This window comes from Homo sapiens, chromosome 3 (assembly GCF_000001405.40).
Source record: "Homo sapiens chromosome 3, GRCh38.p14 Primary Assembly".
NCBI classification, from domain to species: domain Eukaryota; kingdom Metazoa; phylum Chordata; class Mammalia; order Primates; family Hominidae; genus Homo; species Homo sapiens.
In genome coordinates this window covers 161,378,072-161,397,465 of record NC_000003.12, presented here as the reverse complement: position 1 = coordinate 161,397,465, position 19,394 = coordinate 161,378,072, and the positions used below count along the sequence as shown (strand labels likewise).

The window sequence follows — 19,394 nt, the reverse complement described above, 5'->3', positions numbered from 1 at the left end:
GGGCTATAAATTTCTCTCCTAACACTGCTTTAGCTGCATCCCAGAGATTCTGGTATGTTGTCTTTTTGTTTTCATTGGTTTCAAATAACTCTTTGATTTCTCCCTTAATTTCATTATTTGCCCAAGGAGTCATTCAGGCGCAAGTTGTTCAATTCCCTTGTAGTTGTGTGCTTTTGAGTGAGTTTCTTAATCTTGAGTTCTAATTTGATTGTGCTGTGGTCTGAGAGACTGTTAGTTAGGGTTTCAGTCCTTTTGCATTTGCTGAGGAGTGTTTTACTTCCAATTATGTGATTGATTTTAGGGTAAGTGCCACGTGGCACTGAGAAGAATTTACATTCTGTTGTTTTGAGGTGGAGAGTTCTGTAGATATCTATGAGGTCCACTTGATCCAGAGCTGAGTTTAAGTCCTGAATATCCCTGTTAATTTTCTGTCTCAATGATCTGTCTAATATTGAGAGTGGGGTGTTAAAGTCCCCCACTATTCTTGTGTGGGGGTCTAAGTCTCTTTGTAGGCCTCTAGGAACTTGTTTTTTGAATCTGGGTTCTCCCGTATTGAGTGCATATACATTTAGGATAGTTAGCTCTTCTTGTTGAATTGATCCCTTTACCATTATGTAATGCCTTTGTCTTTTTTGATCTTTGTTGGTTTAAAGTCTGTTTTGTGAGAAACTAGTCACTGAGTCACTGACTTCACTCTGTTGTGCCCCTGCAGATCATGGTGACTACTGGGGCATTAATTCTTCCCCAGGAGCACATGACTCTTTCAGCTCTAGGAGAAAAACTGGGGGTGGAAATGGTCATCTGTCTGGACAGAGCTTTATAACTTTAAAATACTGAGGTGTATGGCATATGGGCCTGCTTTCATACTGCTGAATCTGATCAAGCATCAACAATTTCCAAGAAACACCAGGTCAAAGAAACATGTTAAACCAAAAGCACTGTGATGTAATCAGCAAAATCCAGAATATGAAAAGTCTACAGGACAAATAACAAATGAATTGCAAGATGGTGGAAAAATGAGGCTGTAGAAACTATAAATTAAGAGAGATTTCAGAAACAATTCAACCAGCTACATTGTGCAGCCTTTGCTTGGATTGGAGTGAACTGATTGTAAAAATTATTCATGAAATATTTGGGATGAATTGAATACTGACTAAGGAATTATTGTTAATTTTTAAACATGTGGTAATGGTATTAAAGTTATATCCCTAAAAATAACTTTTACCTTTCAGAAATACTAATGGATGACATGATATGATCTCTGGGATTTGCTTCAAAAAAATCTAGTAGCAAGGGAGAGGAAGTGGGGACAGAGATGAAATAAGATTGGCCAGGAATTGATTTTTGATGAAGCAGGAACAAGAGATATGAGGACTTGTGATACTATTATTTTTAGTTTTACATGCATTTGTACATTTCTACAATTAAAATTTTAAAAATAAAGATTAGCTGGACACTTAATATGCGCCAGAGTGGTCAAGATCTACTATCACTGTCTTCATGGAATTTGGCATCCTTACTAGATAATTATTTTATACAAATACTTAAATAATTTCAACTGTACAGTCTGAGATTACATAACAGACCTGCTGATCACCTGTGAGTAAATAGAGAGGCAGCCCAGCAGCATGATGAGCCAGGCCTGGGTGTGAATCCTGGCTCCTTCTCCTTGTTTTCTGGTTGTGAAACGTTGGGCAGGTTACTGCACAGTTCTAAGCTTCAGTTTTCTCTTCTGAAAACTGACCAAAAAAATAGCATCTATCTCGCAAGTTTGTAGTGAGGATTAAATGAGGCAATATATGTAACGTGCTTAGCACTGAGCCCAGCAGATAGTAAATGCTGAACAAAGGCTAAGTACTGTGCTAATATTAGAGGAAGGAAGAATGCGAGGGTTCGGGGAGGACTTCTCTGAGGAAATGACATTTAAGCTAAGGCATTAGAAAGGAATAGTAATTATGTTAAGAAGTGGGCAAGGGAAACAGCACAGATAAGAAAGCATAACCTTTCCAGGGAGGGAGAAAAGACCCTCTTGAGAGTTAGTGAGAGGGCAAAGAGTAAAGAGGCACAAGAGGAGAGGGAGGAGCATGTCACATCAATTCCCAGCCTTAGAAGGCCACATCAAAGATGTGAGATGTTACCACATTTCCTCACTTCTAAGACACTGCCCACCCCACCTCATTTCAACAGCTCTGAAACCAGGATACCTGCTACAATCAAAGATGTGACATAGCAGCATTTTCTTTCCTGGTAGTTCACAAAATAAGGTGTGCCTTTCAAAAGACAGAACTCTCAGTTCTATAAAATGTGGTATTCTGAGAACAATGGAAAGAAAATAAATTGTGGTTGTTAGGTGGCACAGGGGCAGACTTATGTTCCTAAGAGGTTGTTCTGGCTTCATTGTAGAAGAAAGATTGAAGGGGTACATCTGGTGATGATCTTCTTTGGAAACAACAGTTTTTCAGAAGGACATTAGATCACTCACAAAATCATTAGAAGGGTGGGAGAAGCAGGTTCAAGACTAAACTTCTAGAAAAAACACTCAAAACTATGCCACAGAACTGGCCAGATAAGGAAATTGACCCCACTGCCACCACCACACCATCAAAGCCACTTCTGTGCCAGGAGCCTAACTTTGCAACCCCTGCCACTCCCAAGAACAGGCAGTCTCAGTCACCACTCTTGCTAGCAAAGTGAACTCCTCATGGATCCACCCTCCACCAGTTGCCCACTTCTAATCCAGCTGTCATGAGAGGGAGTGAATAGCTGTAAAGAAAGCTGAAGAAAGTTTTCTGAATTCTGTCTTGCAAATGTAGGACCCATAAACTAGAAAGTCTCCAAACAGCCAGGAAGGTCAGTGATTCCTACACAGCCAGGAAACATGGTGGACATCCAGTAGGAAAAAGCTGTGGAAGAGGGACCCCAGACAGGAGGCTTCTGTTGTGAAATGTGACTGAGCCCTCAGCTGCCAATGACCAGCTGAGGAAGTAGGCCTTTTATAACCAAGGTGGTGGGGTGGGAAGCATTCAGGCTGATATGCTTAGGCTGTGTCCCCACTCAAAATCTCATCTTGAATTGTGATACAAATTGTAATCCCCACGTGTTGGGGGAGGGACCTTGTGGGAGGTGATTAGATCACGGGGGTGGTTTCTCCACGCTGTTCTCATGGTAGTGAGTGAGTTGGCACAAGATCTGATGGTCTTATAAGGGGCTTGTTTGCTTCCTCTTCCACCATGATTGTAAGTTTCCTGAGGCCTCCACAGCCATGTGGAACTGTGAGTCGATTAAACCTCCTTTCTTTATAAATTACCCAATCTCAGGCAGTTCTTTATAGCAGCATGAGAATGAACTAATACACAGGTCCTGAGGCAGAGAAGCAGAAACAGGCTCAGTAAATATCTCAGTAGTTGACAGAACACAGGGAACATGCATGTTTTAACCACATTTTAAAACTTAAAGATCCCACAAATGTTGTGAAACCACAGTGATAAAAATAGCTTAAAAATCAAGTCAGACTCAAAATACAAAATACGTGGTAGCCCTTTGCATATATGATAGGGTGAAAAGACACACCAGTAGTCACTGACTTTGCTAACCTTATAAATCAGACAAATGATGATATCTTAGCCTCCCTCTTCTCCTTCCCTCTTCTCTCCTTCATTCCTTCTTTCCTTCTAGCTGAATTTATACACTAGACTAGAAGAAAAAATGAGTAGTTTGTGCAAATAAGTGCAATTCTATAGATATTTGAGCAAGTTTGTTTTTTTGAGCCAAAAGTTTTTCACACATTAAATAGGGACTTTATTTACATCACAACATTTATATATCAAGACAGTGCATTAGGAAAAGCAATTCTGAATCCAGAATGAGCTTTAATTTAAACATCACCTTACCAGCTGGGTGACTTTGAGCAAATCATTAAACCTTGCAGAACCTCACTGCCAGTTTTCTCACTTGTCAAACTGTAGTAAAACTACTCTGTTTGTTTTGCTGTGAAGATCAGCACAAATATTTGAAAAGTACTGGGAACATGATATGGTTCTCAGTTCACAGAAGTTACAATTGGTTATAGCCACCATTATTTCTATAATATCTATAAAGATTTAATTTCTTTGAGCAAAAACAGACATAATTCCTGATTTAAAATTTTTCACATTTTAGCATTTTATTAAAGATTTTGTTACATTAATTTTTATGGCAAATTTCTTCCTTTAACCTCAGGTAACAGCCACAGAAGTAGTAAGCAGTTAAAGTTCAACCCTAAATGTTGGTTTGATCATAAGATTGCCTTTGACTATTAAATTTTACTTATTTCTTGCATGCACTTTCAGACTGAATATTTTCTCTGTACATATGCATTTATTCAGAGAAGAAACGTGTATCACTTGGCATGTGCAAAATCCATCAGCTCTTGCAAGTTTAGTAATATGAATGTAAGGGAGGAATATTTCTCATCAGCACCACCTATCTTGCCTTCTCTCCTGGACCAATGGAAGAAGTGTCCCTTCTCCAATGGTCCCTCTCCCCTGGCACTGGAGTCCTGCTCTCCTCCCCCCTTTGCCTCCTAAAGGACAACATTCTAGCAATTCTCCCCTCTCTTTCCTACATCTTCAGTTTCTTCTGCACTACCAGATTATTCCCTTGAGCATAAAATATGCCTTACTGTCATCTATTTTTCAAGAAGACAACTCTCCCTTGATCCTATGACCCCATTCAGCTTCCTTCATCTCCCCTTTACAGCAAACTTCTAAGGAATTGACTAATCTTCAGCTTCCATTCTTTTTCCAGCCCACTCTGCTCCTCTCTCATCCCCACCATACCCATGAATCAACTCTTACCAATCGCCTTGGCCACACTAAACCCAGCGGTCAGTGCTTTGTCTTCATCTAACCTGACCTCTCACACCATTTTGATTCAGCTGCCCACACTCATCTGCCCAAATCACCTTTTTCTCTTAGCACCTATGACTTTTCACTCCTAGTTTTCCATTTCCAACTCACTTTTTTTCTTCTATGCTCAGTTGCTAATGATAGCAGCCTAGGGCTAAGTCTTTAGCCCTCTTCACATTTCCAGCTTCCCCACTCACACTCACACTCCACGCCATCACAGTGTTCATCTCACTCATGATTTTAAATGCTTCTATTCACTGATGACAACCGTATTTATTTCTCCAGCTCCAATTTATCTCCTGAGCTCTGGCTTCATAAATATAATTATTGAACAAACATCTACATTTGAATGTCGAAGTTAACATGTCCAAAAAGGAAGTCCAAATTTTTCCTTAATAATCTCCAGCTCTTGATTATGTACATGGGGGAAAAAAGGATCTAAGGATACTAGCTGTTTTGCAAAAGTCCCTTTAAAAATATTTAGGTTCTGTAGATTATTCAACAAACACTCTATTGCAGACACTGAGCTGAGTATCAAAAAAGTATGAGATGGAACCTCCACCATCAAGAAGCTCAATATAGTATAAAGCCATAGCTTTGACATCTGTTACTTACCAATTGTCTAAACTTGGCAACTTCTTGCCTTCAGTTTCCTCATCTGTAACACAGGAACAATAAAAATAATAATCATACTTTCCTCATATGGTTGCTATGAGACATAAATAAAATTTTATACATATAGATGATTCCAATGCCTGGCACATAAAAAACACTCAATAAATGTTAACTTTTAAGCAAGTAGCTAAAATTGTATGCTCCATTGTCACCTGAAATTAAAAGTGTCCTTTTTTATGCCTGGAAGGGGAGACAGACCTACAGTATAAATAAATATGGAATTTATGCAATACTTATGAGTGATACATAAAATAAATTCTGAAAAAAAATGTTCTCCTACAAAAAGTCCAAACCAGACAAGTGCCACATAAATGTCAACTGCATGAGATGCAGTTTTCTCTATCCTCTGCCTGCTCCTTTTAACTTGTTTCATCTTTGCCTATTGTCATCTCTTTCCTCTGAAGTTTCTTAATTAAAAGAGAGCACCCCACATTCAGAGGCACATTCATTCTTCTTTCCTCCTACAAGTGACTGATCTCATACATTAAAAAGCTGAGCCAGCAAAGTAGCGGTGTTTCAATGCCAATTATGAAAATCCATAAATAAAGTACATCATTCAGTTTCCTGCATGAATACTTTTCAACCACTCTGATGTCCTGACTGTTGGAATTGTTTTTCCTCTCTAAGGACAACCATTAAGTATTTACAAGCATGTCCTTTTCTTGGGAAACATTAAAGGCAAATGATATGAAGCAAAGCTGTTTTGCAGTGCAGCATATACCCCTTGAATCATTTTATACCAGCTTTTTTCAATATTGGTTGAAAAAGCTCAGTGAAGTCATTAGTCTTTGAAATTTCCTTTAGAAGTTTTTATGAACCAAGCTGATCATCCAACTCTAGGTTCTTCTAAGACTCCTGCCAATTTTTGTTATGACAAGCATTTAATGTATTTTGCTGTTAAGTCATTCACATATCAATCTTCTCATAAACTATAAGGTTTTCTTGGACAGCGTACTTTGCTTCAAATTACAAAAAATACACATAAACACTATTCTTTTTAAGTAAAATTTTTGCAACTATATAAATTAGGAGAAAACTGAACACATCAAATTTCACATCAAGTCCGAGATATGTGACAAAAAGTGCTATTTAGGGGTTACGTATGGAGAAACTGTGACCCAGAGACATAATTAAATCCATAACAGTACAGGAATGGGGTTCCTTTTAAGACCCTTTTTCCTTTTGGTTCTCCTACAGACCTTATTTAACCAAGCAGCCTAATCAGTATCCTGAACAAGGAGTAGCCTTCTAAATATGTTTGCCTTTTTCCTGAGAAGGAAAAGAGTATCTTCAAAGGACCTATTTACCTATGTTCATTTTTCCAGCTGCCTTAAAGTAAACACATTCCTCTTTGCCCCTCCCTTGCTTTATTTTTATGAGGACTTTACTGACAAATAAACTTTTCTGTTTATATTCAGATTCTATAAATAATGAATTGTCTTCAGAGATAAAGTGAATAATTAGTTCTTCCATACAACGCAAATCCCATAGCAAGATCAACATCATATTGTAATGCTCCCTTAAGTCCAACCTTGATTGAGCACAGAAAGGACAGGTTGTGTTAGGAACTTCCTTGCCAAGACTTGAGACGGAAGCATTATACTACCTCTTGTACAGATGGAGAAACAGACTCAGAGAAGTTAAGTTAACCAACCTCACACAACTAATGGGTAGTAGAGCTGGATTTAAGAGAGGCTTATCTTATTCCATGTCCATCCTTTCCCCTTTGCCACTATGAAAGACAAAGCATCTCTTGTAGAATACTTTCAGACATTCTATAACCTAACCCAAGGTCATCCAGACCCTCTGCTTGTTCAACTTTTGAGCTAGCCTCAGAAATCCAATCACTCCACATGAGAAACTAAGACTTAGGCAAGGGTTAGCCAGATTAGGGCTACATTCCTAAATTTTGATATTCTAGGTCTTTCTCCATCAAAGATAAGACAGGTCAGATCAAATCCTGGTGTCAGACAGGGCAGAACTCCTGATCAGGGCCCTAAGCAACCTGGACTCAGAAAATGGGAAGTAAAGGAAGCAGAGGATCTGGAACCAGAAAACCAGGTTCTCCTCTCAAGTTCCTCATTTACCAGCAGTGGGACCTTGAGTTGTCTCAATTCTCTGAGTCCCAGCTTCCTAATCTAGAGAATGAGATAGTAGAATCTTCTGACCATTCAACAACATTACAATAATGATCAAAAGAAGTAATAGAAATGTTCCAGATGTCTCTCAATAAAAAAATGGATAAACAAACTGTGGTATATCCATACAATGGAATATTAGTCACCGACAACAATAAACAAATTACTGATACATACAACAATACAGCCGAATCTCAAAAGCATTATGGTAAGGAAAAAAGTACAGACAAAAGGCTGCGAGATTTCACTTATGTGAAGTTCTATAGCAAGAAAAGCTAACCAAAGGTAATAGTAATCAGAATAGTGGTTGCATGGGAGCAGAGAAAGAATTGACTGAGAAGAGACTTGAGGACACTTTCTGGAGTGATGGAAATATTCTATATGTTAATAGAAATGTATGCATCTGTCAGGACAGAGGGAATGCACAATTTAGGTCTACACATTTCACCATATGTAAATTGTACCTCCATAAAAAAGATAATACAAATTTAAAACTTTCATAAGTAGAAGAGCTCTGTACAAACATTAAATGCCAGAGTTGCTCACTGAAATACTATGAGTCCTTTTTACATCACTGCTTGGTCAGACAACCTTATATGAGTGACTTGCAGTGACTCAAAAAAATGCACTTAATTGAAGTTGCTTTCTTTTATGATCCAAAGTTTATGGTTAGATCTGACTTAGGGATTCTGAGAAAAGCAAGGAACATACAAATAAAGCAATACTAAGTTTAGAAATAATGACTCATATTCTAATAGCAAAGTGGCATATGGGCCATTCTACAGCATATACTCACTTCCTCTAAATCAGACTCCCTAGATTTCCATAAAAAAGAGAAGTTGCTATTTAAAATTTAGTTCAAGAAAAGCAAGTTGCAACAAAAAGTATAATAGCCATTTGTATTGAGTATACCAGTCTCTTCCAAATGCTCTTGTTTCTGCTCACAACAGCCCTGCAATGCAGCATTATCTCCATTTCAAACATAAGAAAACCAAGACTCAGGAACAGCTAAGTTACCTGCCGTATGACACATATCAAATTTTCAAACCTGTATCTGTCTGTCTTCATAGCTTTATTCTATTCCGACAGATTTTTTATATAGTACACAATAAATATATGTTTTCCAGTCTTGATTATTGTTTTAATTAGTTATCTTCACAGTTGTAGGTAATTTTATCTCATTACACAACAGTCACTCATAGTAATATCCAACATTTATTGAGTCCTGATCAAGAGTCAGACACTTAACATGCAATAACTCAGTACATGCTTAAAATAGTTAAGAAGTACTCATTATCGCTAGCCTGATTTTACAAATGAAGAAACTGACAAAGAGATGTAAAGGAAGTTTCCCAAGGTCATGCATGTAGCTTAGCAGAGCCAAGATCTGTGCCCAGGGAACCTGGATTCAAGACATGTGATCATGAAAACCATTCCACTTTGTTTTCTCAATGCCAGTGAATGGGTCGCTTACTTCAGATAAACCCAAACTGCAAAGCATTATACAATAAAACTAAAATTGTATTTCATATAAGAGTAAAAACATTTTCAAATTTCCTAAGAAAGGTCTGCAACCAGAGGCTATTCCTAGATTGTAAAAGAATGCACTTTTCTTACTTCTAACTCATAAGGGATCACCAGTATACCTAGAGTAGATGCAAAGACAAGCAAAATGTAGAAATTTTTATTAACAAGTATCCTAAAAATGTCACAAGGTCAGGACATAATTCCATGATAATGGATCATCTCTAAAATGTCATTCATCTAGTCCAGTGGTGTATCCCAACACCCCCAAAGACTGTGTCAGAGTCCCAGAGTAATGGCTACTGTGCAATAATGGGAGTAGAAGGAGGAGCAGAGTGGGGGAAAGAGACTGTGAGTTTGGGAAAAGAAAAATCCCAGGTGTTGTTGAAACTCCACATCCTCTTCTTACCTCCTAGATAATTACTGATTTTAGGCTCATCTTTCTAGCACAGGGGTCTTAAACTTCAGCATGCATCAGAACCACCTGGAACAGGAGGAGTTCCATCGGGTTCCCAGGTGAGGTTAGTGCTGCTAGCTTGGAGCCCACATGTTGGGAACCACTCCTCCATAATATTAATCCTTACCAAGCCTCTGCTTAAATATCTCCAATCACAAGGGACACTGAAGTGAAATTAACACTACCCACTTAACAAAACAGGAAATTACCATTTCATTCACTGACGATGAAGAAATGCTGCCAAATGTTAAGTAAACACACACACACACAAGCGTGTGCACACTTTTTAATAATACATTCTAAACATGTTTACTTTTGAAATAAAAACAACAAAAGTGCTACAAGTATAAAAAAGTTAAAGGCAGACTCTTTCCATATAATTACCAGAAAGGCCAATTCAAAACTATACATGTGCAATGTTTATGCCTCATCAGAAGAAAACCCCTGCAGACCCAGAAGCTAATGTACAGGTTCTCCACAAATGTTGACAGCCTGAGTCTCCGTTGAGCTCATTTAGCTTAACAAGTCTCTAGCTACAGTTCACAGTCAGAAGCAAAGATCAATAAAAGCTCCATAATGTTTTTCCATTAGTCTCCAGGCTTTCTTTGCACAAAATGATAAAGGATGAACAAGGGTCAATAGTGTGGTAGACATAACTCATGCCTGCCTGCTCATTAGAGTTCACTACAGTTACCAAGGCAGGCAGCACTTTTTAGGGGGTTTCTGTTTTTCTGAGGTTGTTTTAAGAGAGATTTTTTTCCTCCCTTGGTTTGTTACCAACTCCTTGATATGAAAGAGTCCTTTAAAACCTCTTGGCTTAACTTCCTGTCAGCATATTTTGCAAGAATATTTCCTACAAAGTTCTTAGGAGATGTAAATATGGCAATCTTCCAGATAGAGATGAAGACAAACTTTCAAGACTTCTTTCTGTCGAGTAACATTACCTGGCTCCCTGGCCTATTCCTCGTGTGACATGACCATTGTTTCAAATGAACCCTTTAAAATGAAGGGATCTAATGAAGGGAGCCAAGACTGCTCAACTAATTAATTTGCCACCACAAAAATAAAAGCTCCATGAAGGGAGGAAGTCAGCCTCTGTTTGCCACCACTGTATGCCATAGCAAGCACGGCTGGACATAAGTGCTGAATAAATGCGCCTGGATAAATTAGTCAATGAGTGAGACTCAATTTGTAGCTATAATACCATTTTTGTAACTTTTCAGAATTACTCTAACTAATATTTTCTATTGCTGAGCATCCCATGAGGCTGCAAAGACACAAGTTTTGGCTTCAGATCATAAGCAACTGTGTGTTTTACCTAACATACTTGACAGTGATATCAAGGGAACACTTCAAAATAGCAGGAGAAACTAAAAGTATGTTAAGCCATAGTTGCAAATATGATACATTACTTGTTGGTGTTGTGAAATTCTTTGAATTTTTACTTTTAGTTGAACCCTAACAAAGCTCTCTCTATATGCAAACATGAAATTTACTCAGAAAGCAAATTGGAATTTTAGCTAACTCATTTAATCTTGGATTGTAATTTTACTACTTAAAATCTTTCATTAACAACTTCACTGTTAAAGAAGAAAACTAATAACCACTGAGCACCTGTTATGTGCAAAGCAATTGAAAAGGCTCCTTTGCAAGCATCAATCTTATTCATCACATTTAACAGGTGCTATATCCAGGTAATCTAGATATCTATTGAAATCAAGAGTAAGCCAATCTGGTAATTTGTGTAATAAATTTAAATTAAATAATGTAACAGCTATAAAGTTAAGAGTAAATCTCTAACACCTAACACAAGCCTTCATACGTGTGTTAAATGACTAAAATTGGAGAAAATAAACATTGACTTTAGTAGATAGGAGTGGGAAGGGTATTTCCACGTCTAGTCAGGAATACTGTCTGATATAACTGAAGAATGACAATTCAAAGTACATTGAGTATTTCCTCATGGACAAAAGTCAACCAAAAGGACTGCAAGTGACTTTTTAGTAGGTTACAGGGAGGTTAAGGATGGTCATGCCACTCTTTGCAGAAGGTCAGGAAGTCTAAACCCTCCCCCAAAGCACAAAGAGGGCTCAAAGAAGAGTGTAATGTTTACCAGAATGGTTGAAAAGCAGAGCAGCACGTGAGCTCATCCGCCACTAAACACTCAGTCCCATCTCTTATTCTCTAGCCTGTCTCTCTCCCTCGCTAAGCAACTTCTTATTCTTCTTTTTATTCTGAAGGAGAAAGATCTGTTTTCATCCCTTCTGGTCTTTTGATGTCCCATATTCTTCTTTCTCCTTCCTTTTCCTTCCCCTTTCTCCCTCCTAGTGACCATAATGAAGAATTCAAGTCCTCACTTTCATATAGTTCTTGATTAAAAATTTTAATAGTTCTCTCTCAAGAATTCTTCAGCTTTTGTATATGCTTCAGTCTGATTTAAAACTTCCAAATGTTATAATAAATAAAATTGTCCTGAAATCTGCTATGTCCAGTAAATCTTTCTCTAGGCCTTCCTGAAAGATCACGGTAAGATAGACTCATGAAAAGCATGCTTTTCACACACCTGTGGAAGGAGCACACACTGCAAGAGGATTGTATCCAGGAATGCATGGCCACCTGTGAAGCCAATAACTGAATTTAAGAAAGACACTATAAAAGAAAAATCTCTAGAAAATTTGGTGCAAATAAAATATACTGCCATTGAGCTGTAACATGACTCTTTCCTCAGGCTGATATATTGTTTCAGCATAGAGAACAAAAACGTAAGGAAGAAAAAGCATTTTTAAATTAAAAAAAAATTGTCTTAATATAGAACATTTTTCGAAAGTAAACAGAAATTTCATCCTGAGTGCTCGTTTTGTTTCAGCTATTGATCCATCTGTTAATTGCTCCTTCTGTTGTTATTATTGATTTCAAAATCAGGAGGGCTTACCATTTCTTCGTTTGTTCATCCCTCAAATGCCTGTGGGGAAACAGAAAACCAAATATCACATGTTTTCATTTATAAGTGGGAGCTAAATCTTGGGTTCACATGGACATAAAGATGGGAACAACAGACACTGGAGACTCCAAAAGGAGTGAGGAAGGGGGACAAGGGCTGACAAACTACATATTGGGTACCATGTTCACTATGTGGGTGAACATGATACCCAGTAGAAGCCCAAATCTGAACACCATACAATATACCCTTGTAGCAAATCTGAACATGTACCCCCTGAATCTAAAAAAAAGAAGAAATTAAAATAAATAAATAAAATGGGAATTCATTTTTTAAAATGCCTGTGGGGGATAGGGGCTGATGGGGGAGAAGGAAAGGAGGTATCTGCTTGTCTCTGCAGATTCTAAACTGAAAGACAGTCAAATGCCTCAAAAGAAAAGACTTAAATGTTGATGTACTGTTGACTGAAACTACTTGCCCTGCTTATAACCATCAAAGAACGGAAGCTGTGCTCCAAGGTTCCTTCCAGCTTCAGGGTTACTATCAGATCCTGCTATGGTTCCAAATTCACAATTTTGTTAATTGATTCTCAAAATTAAGTCCTTTATTGCTAAATCCCATAAGAACAACTCTGGCTCTGTTCTCCTGAAACTTTAAATAGTCTTAGTCCTCAGAAGGACTTAAATTCATGTTGTCATTCTTACAGCCTACAAAGACCTCTCGAAGATACTTCTCAGCATGCCCTCCACTAAATTGTGTTGCATCCACACAGCCACCGCAGAAAAATAGCTTTCACCTTGAAAATTAAAAGCCACACCTTGGAATTGATCACATATTATTTGCTAATGGTTTGAGGAAAATGCCTACGTAACTTATTCTTCAAAATTGCATCTCAATTTTCTTAACAACAACAGTGATCTAATTCCTTTCAAGAAGCTATGTGCCTACTTGAAGCTAAGATTAAAAATTAAACCCTTCCAATTTTTATCTAATTTTCTTCTGAATTAAATTTGGATACTTACTATGGAAATGCAGCTTCATGACAAAAACCTTGCTTTCTACTATCTGCCATCTCTCAGAAACTTTTAAAAAGACATGTGAAATCACTCTATTTCCTCCAAATAAACTGAATTATCAATGTTAATGGGAGACAGGGATAAGGTAAAATAAAGCTCAAGTAATTAAACTATTTTATTGTAAATATTCATATTACCTCCGAGCTAATTTTTACTAGAGGTGCTGGCAAATTCAAAACAAAATAAAAATTAGTTTCAGATTACTTCTTACTCACTAGCTAGGTGACTTCCTAACCAATCAACTTACTCATTCTCACATCAAATTCAGAATTCAAGCTTGTGTCTCAGCAAAATTACAAATTTAATGGACCTCTAGAATGCTTTAAATATAGTGGAACCACAAATGTTACATCCACATATGCCAAGAGTTTATTTTAAGGCCTTCATCACTTAATGATGAAGTCATTGGTTTGACTCTCAGACAACTGATAGGATAATAAATATGTAGTTAACATTAGTTCAATTCACACCTCATCTGAAAGATCTTTTGTTTCACTCCCATTTTAGAAGTCCTCTGCCCCTCTACCTATATTTCCCACAGGTTTTAACCTGGCTCCCGTAAGGAACACTTCTGGGAGTATTCAGTTATTTCTTTTTTAACCATTTATAATTGAAAATTTTATGGGTGTTGAATCCAGGCAGCCATCATCATTCACCCAGTTCAGATCTAAAAGGTTTCAGTCAACCACAGCAGCTCCTGTGGGCACAATGTCTGAAACCCTTGATAATAAGCATCTCTCTTCTTGCACCTCCTGTTTTCATCATCAAGAAATTCTCAATAGGCCTCATTTCCCCCTGTGAATGAGAGTTGCATAATCAATAACATCTAGCCAGTATAGCACTCTCCTCTTGGTCCATTTGGTTGCCTCACTTTGACAATGCCATTCTGATTTATAAGTGTTCTCAGTAAATGCTAGTTATCCATACCCTGCACTCCTTTCAATCATGGTAATTTAACACCAGTTTCATCCCCTTAGGAGTTTCTCTATTAAGCACCCTGCCAGATGTTTAACTGGATGCTCAATCTAAATCCTGCAGCACAGACCACATCCCAGGAAATGTTAACTCATTAAAGAGATTCCTACCTTTGAAGCACAAGTGGAAAAGGGAGTTTAGAAAATTTGCTACATCTTTAGCTTCATCTTTGGGAGTCTGACCTTAACTTTCACTAAGTCAAGATTCTGGAATATTCATGTCAATGCCATTGATATGTGGCATGGAGATAATTCTTAAGTCTCCTTTTCAAACACTTAGCTAATTTAGAAGTTCAAGAAAAAAGTACATTTCCTAACTGAAAGCCTTTTTTAGCCCTAAAAAAGGTGGATGATATGACAATATACATTTGTATATGATCCAATAAAAATCACTTAGTTCCACCCCCCTTTTTTCCCTTTATCTTTCTCATGTCTTTCTTGACTTAAAGGCTTTTAGAATTAATGTATCACTGGGGGAAATGTTGAGTTGTGCTCTAATTTTATATTTGACATTGACTGCATATCTTTGGCGATGTCAGTTAACCATCTTGGCTTTAATATATTATCCATAATTTACCATTCTTATTAAATGGCATTAATATATGTTGTTTTCTTAATGGAATGCTGTAATAAAAAGGAGATGATACTGTCAACTTTCTATGGACATGAAAGATATTTTTTGAACTCACCTCGATAAGTACAAATATTGCCAGCCACAATTCAAGACACTAACCCAGACACTAAGCTTGGTAGGAGGGATGCAGGGTTGACCAAGACATCGTTCCTGGACATCACTAAGCTTCATTTACATTTGGAGTTTTAAAAAACTTTTAACAAAAGAAATTCAAGACTTGTACACTGAAAACTACAAAATACTATTGAAAAAGATAATAAAGAAGATCTAAGTAAATGGAAAGCCCTCCCATGTTCATGGATCAGAACACCTAATATTGTTAAGGTGGCATAATCCTCAAATTAATCTATAAATTAAATCTGTATTACAGGATAGTAATACCTATCAAAATTCCTGCTACCTTTTTCACAGAAATTGACAAGATGATCTTAAAATTTATAAGAAAATGCAAAAAATAAATAATAGCCAAAACAAGATTTAAAAAGAAGAACAAAATGGAGGATCAACACTTCCAAATTTCAAAACTTATTAGAATAAAGCTATAGTAATCAAAACAGCATGGTACTGGAATAAGGCTAGATAGATAGATCAATGGAATAGAATTGAGTACCCAGAAATAATTCCCTACATTTATGGTCAATTGATTTTGGTAAGGGTACTAAGACAATTCAATGGAGAAAGAACACTGTTTTCAACAAACAGTGTTGGAACAATTTGATATCCACATGAAAAAGAATGAATTTGGATACCTACCTGACACCATGCACAAGACAACTGAAAATGGATCACACATCTAAATGTAAGAGCTAAAACTCTAAAATTCCTAGAAGGAAACTAGAGGAAAATCTCTATAATTTGGGATTAGGTAATAGTGTCTTACATAAACACCAAATTCATAAGAGACCAAAGGAAAAAAAGAGATAAGTTAGACTTCACCAAAATTAACAACTTGTGTGTTTCAAAGGACACCATCAAGAAAGTGAAAAGACAGACCATAAGATGGGAGAAACTCTTTGCAAATCATATATCTGACAGGGGACTTGTACCCAGAATATATTTAAAAAACTCTTACAACTGTACATAAAAAGACAAATATCCCAGTTTAAAAATGGGTAAATAATTTGAATAGACATTTCTCCAAAGATGTACAAATGACCTATAAACACATGGAAAGATGCTAAATATAATTATTAATTAGAAAAGCATAAATGAAAACCACAATGAGATACCACTTCACACCCATAAGAATGGCTAAAATCACAAACAATAACAAGCATTGGTCAGGATGTGAAGAAGTTGGAACCTCATACATTATGCGTAGGAATGTAAAATGGTGCAAACACCTTGAAAAATAACTTGGCAGTACCTCAAAGTTAAACACAGAGTTATCATATGACCCAGCCATTCCACTATCATATCTCATATACCTAAGAGAAATGAAAACATATGTCCACACAAAATGTTCTTAGCCACATTACTCATAATCACCCCAAAGGGAAAACAACCCAAATGTCCATCAACTGACGAAATGGATAAACAAAATATAGGACAGCCACACAATAGAATACGATTCAGCAAATAAAAAGGAATGAAGTACTAATACATATTACAACATGAATGACCAGAGTAGGGAATGGATCCACTCACCTCCCAACTCCAAGCATGAAGGTAGAAACTTTTCCATTTCTTATTCTTCATTCTGTAAATATTTTTTGAGCACCCACTATGTGCCAGTTGCCCTCCTCAACAGTGAGCAGAAAATATTATGCTAAGTAAAATAAAACAGTCACAAAAGGCGACATATTGTATGATTCCATTTATATAATATGTCCAGAATAGACAAATATGTAGAGACAGCAAGTAGATTAATGGCTGCCTAGGATTGGCAGTGGCGGTGGAAGAACGAGAAGTGACTGCTAACAAGTATGGGGCTTCTTTTTCAGGTCATGAAAATGTTGTAGACTTAGATAGTGATGATGGTTGCACAACCCTGTGAATGTACTTAAAACCACTGAGATGCTTCTCTAACCTCCCCGAATCCTCCCACCAAGTCATCAAATAAATTTAAAGTACAGATCACTAGATGAGATGAAGACTGGGACAGAACTATCCATGAAAGACCATGGTTTTACTTCCAGTTGCCACTCTGTTTCCATGGGCTTCTTTTCCTGTTGTTTAATCTTGACATCTGAATTGTCTTGTTGCCTTATCTTCTTACTTCTTACTTTCATTCTGGATTTGCTCTTTTCATCCCTAATAGCAACCCTGACCTGAAAGTTTAATTTGACAGAAATTAAAATAATACCTTCACAACGAATGCCAAATTCTCCACAGCAAAATGTCACTACGCTAGAGTTGCTATGAATTTTCATAATACATAAGGGAGAAAGATGTTTTGCTGGAGGTGAGTGACAACTCACCCAGTGGAAATATAAAATGATGGGGCGGCTTCTTCTCCATCTCATTATACAGCTATTCATCATACCTGAAGAGTCTTACTCCAAGTGATTCAAGATAAGAAAACTAGTTAGGGAAGATGGTTGCTAAATCAAAAGCCTTCAATGAAGCAATAAATCTCTCAGCAAGGACAGGCAAAGTAAGTTTGTTCTGAGCAGAGACACGGTCACGTGTCAAAACGCAAAGTAAAATGGTTGGATCATCAAAATTGCGGCCACTTTCAACTTAATCTGTAGTTCAAATATAGAGAGTTCTGTCATTATCATTAATATCTCTCTTTCTCATAAATTGGAATTTTTTTCTTTTTAAACTAATCTCTACTTTCAAAACCTTAAGATTCTTTTTTATCAACCACTGTTTTAGTAAAAGTCTTTTAACGAGATGGGGGAAATGCAGTGTTCTGCCTCTGAATATGTGATGTTGAAGTAAATGTATTTTCTGTTGGTCTGGAACATTAGGGTAAATAAATGGATTTCACTGAAAAATAGTTCATAGAAAACACAATTGCAGGCTGGGCCCAGTGGCTCATGCCTGTAATCCCAGTACTTTGGCAGACAAGGCAGGTGGATCACATGAGGTCAGGAGTTAGAGACAAGCCTGGCCAACATGATGAAACCCTGTCTCTACTAAAAATACAAAAATTAGGCGGGTGTGGTGGTGCAATCCTGTAATCCCAGCTACTTGGGAGGTTGAGGCACGAGAATCACTTGAACCCAGGAGACAGAGGTTGCAGTGAGCCGAGATTGTGTCACTGACTCCAGCCTGGGAGATAGAGCAAGACTCCATCTCAAATACACACACACACACACACACACACACACACACACACACACACACACACACACAAATTGAATAAGTCATAGCCACTTGTCACAAAAGGGGAGGTAGGAAAGACAAAAGGGAGAGAGAAGGGGAGAAAGGGAGTGACAGAGGGAAGGGGAGAGGGAAGGAAGAAGATGCTGATTGTATTCCTGAAAAACTACTTTAAAACTATTATTATATAAATAAAACATACTTAAAAGTAAAATAGAAGCATTAAGCATTTTCTAGGGGCCAGATACTGCCCTAACTGCTTTACCTGTGTTATCTCAAACTCTCAAAACAATAGTAGTGAACGCTTACAGGGCATTTGCTCAATGCCACCTACTCTTCTAAATGGCTTAGATATACTAACTAAAATAATTCAATACTGTTTTTATCCTTCATGGCAGATAAGGAAATTGAGGCTGAGGAGAGTTTAAGTAAGTTGCCCTCATTCATACAGTTAAGTGATAAAGCTAGGATTTAAATCTGGTAGGTCTGGCTCCAACATCTATTCTTTTAACTAGCACAGCACAACCATCTTCTCTGAGAAAAATATCAGGAGAAGTGATATATGAGTAGTCATGGAGAAATAATTTAAAGTGAGTTAACATAGTAAAGGGTAGAAAAAACAGCAAAAACAACAACAACAAAAAAGTCTTTGGTATCCAACTCGTAAAGTTGTGTCACTTTAGAAGGGTTCCAACCTCTCTGATTCTTGGTCTACAAAATGAGATACAAAGCTCCTACCCTCCAAACTTGCTGTAAGATTATTTGTGAAAATTTTGTGATAGTAGTTTAATAACTGATAGTCATTATCATCATTATTGTCTG

At 37.2% G+C, this 19,394-nt stretch overlaps 1 long non-coding RNA gene across 1 annotated transcript in view; it reads right to left on the bottom strand.

Moving 5' to 3' along the window:
• The window catches only part of LOC107986150 (uncharacterized), a 35,884-nt gene extending 17,395 nt beyond the window's left edge, over window positions 1-18,489 (bottom strand). Inside the window, exons 1-2 of the long non-coding RNA XR_007096152.1 lie at window positions 12,613-18,489; window positions 5,502-5,544 (exon numbers count right to left, since the gene is read on the bottom strand). This is a non-coding gene — a long non-coding RNA (uncharacterized LOC107986150). The remainder of the gene's footprint in view (window positions 1-5,501; window positions 5,545-12,612) is intronic.
• Window positions 18,490-19,394: the final 905 nt, after the last annotated feature.